This window comes from Homo sapiens, chromosome 22 (assembly GCF_000001405.40).
Source record: "Homo sapiens chromosome 22, GRCh38.p14 Primary Assembly".
In the NCBI taxonomy this organism is placed as follows: domain Eukaryota; kingdom Metazoa; phylum Chordata; class Mammalia; order Primates; family Hominidae; genus Homo; species Homo sapiens.
The window spans coordinates 18,644,221-18,645,861 of record NC_000022.11 but is presented as its reverse complement, the minus strand read 5'-3'; positions in this window follow the sequence as shown (position 1 = coordinate 18,645,861).

Here is a 1,641-nt window from a genome sequence, read left to right as displayed (position 1 = left end):
TTCAACAATCATCTTTATTTCTGTTCCTCTGACTTGATCATTTCAAGTGTCCCATCTTCAAATTCACTGAATCTTTCTTCTGTTGCTCAAATCTGCTTTTGAATCCCTCTGGTGAACTTTTATTTCAATCACTACACTTTTAGTTCCAGAATTTATTTATTTTTTTTCTTTTTAGGTTTTCTATCTCTTTATTGATATTCCCATTTTGTTTACACATAATTTTACTGACTTTCTCCACATCTTCCTTCAGTTCTTTGACCATCTTTAAGAAAGTTGTTTTAAAGTATTTGTGTAGTAGGTTACCATCTGGTCTTTCTCTGGAACAGTTTCTGTTGTTGTTTTTCCTTTGAAATACCATATTTTCTTGTTTTTTGTATGCCTTGTGTTTTGTATTGAAAACTGGACACTTGAATATAATAATGCAGTAACTCTGGAGATGAGACTCTCCTCTTCCTCAGGGTTTGCTGTTTTGGGGTTTTGTTATGTTTTACATTGTTGTAGGTTGTCTCCATGCTGAGGATCAACCTGAGTTGTAAGCTTGAGGTCTTCTCAGGTCTGAAGCTGCTCCTTTCCCTGGGCACACACTCCTCTCTCCAAGGATGTGTGGTAACTTTAATTTCCTCTGGGTATGCCATTGCTTTTGAGTGTCCTAGTCTTTAATGTTTGGCTCCCAAAAAAGGAAAAGAGAACAATGAAGGGGAAGGGAAATGGGGTTCTGGCCTTTTCTATCTCCTAGAAGTTGCTTCAGTCTGGTAAGGGCTTGCAGCAGTGGAGTGGGGAGTTGTGAGCAATAATGGCTGCCAGCCTCTGTGTTTGCCCTTCCATAATCAAAAGTAGCAATCAACAACCAGAACGCAGATGCTAACACTTGGAGGACAGAGTGCTTATTGCCCATGATTGTTCCCACAAGCTTGGTACAAGCTGCTTCAGGAACACATGCAAAGCTTCTTGCCGTGAAGCTGGGGCATGGGGATTGGGTAGCCACTGCTGAGCTAAGAGCTGAAATTGACCAAAATTAAGTAAAAATTATAGTTTAAGCCTTCATTTGGAGGTTACAAGCCTCCTTTGATAGAGTCTAGAGTTCCAAAATAGTTATATCAGGCAGATTCTGCCAGTGTGATTATTTTCTAGGTGGGGAGATGAATTCCCAGTGCTTCCTACTCCACTTTCTTCCCAGAACCCTCTCTTGTAATAGTTTTTTACTTAAAATCTATTTTGTCTATACTTTTTTTTCCATATATTTACTTTTTATTGAATTTGTTAACGTTACAGAGTTCTTGCACTGCCAAACCATGCCTGAGAATTCAAACAAATGGTACAATGGACAGCCTCATCCACCCATCATACAGTATATTAAAACTTGATTCATCTATATTTTGATATTTTCACAATCTTTTAAAAAGTTATAATAAGAGCTGGAATTTAAATCTGCTGCAGGTCTTCAGATTTTGAGTACAGTATGCCTTTACATAACACCTCCACTTACTCATCTCTGTTCATTCTTCAGTAACATAAAACCCAACAACTTGTACAGCCATAACTTGTACAGCCATTCCTGATCTGTTTTGGTTACTTTTTGCACGGAATATTCTCCATTCTCTCATTTTTCAACCCATTTGTATTGGATTTCAAATGAGTCTC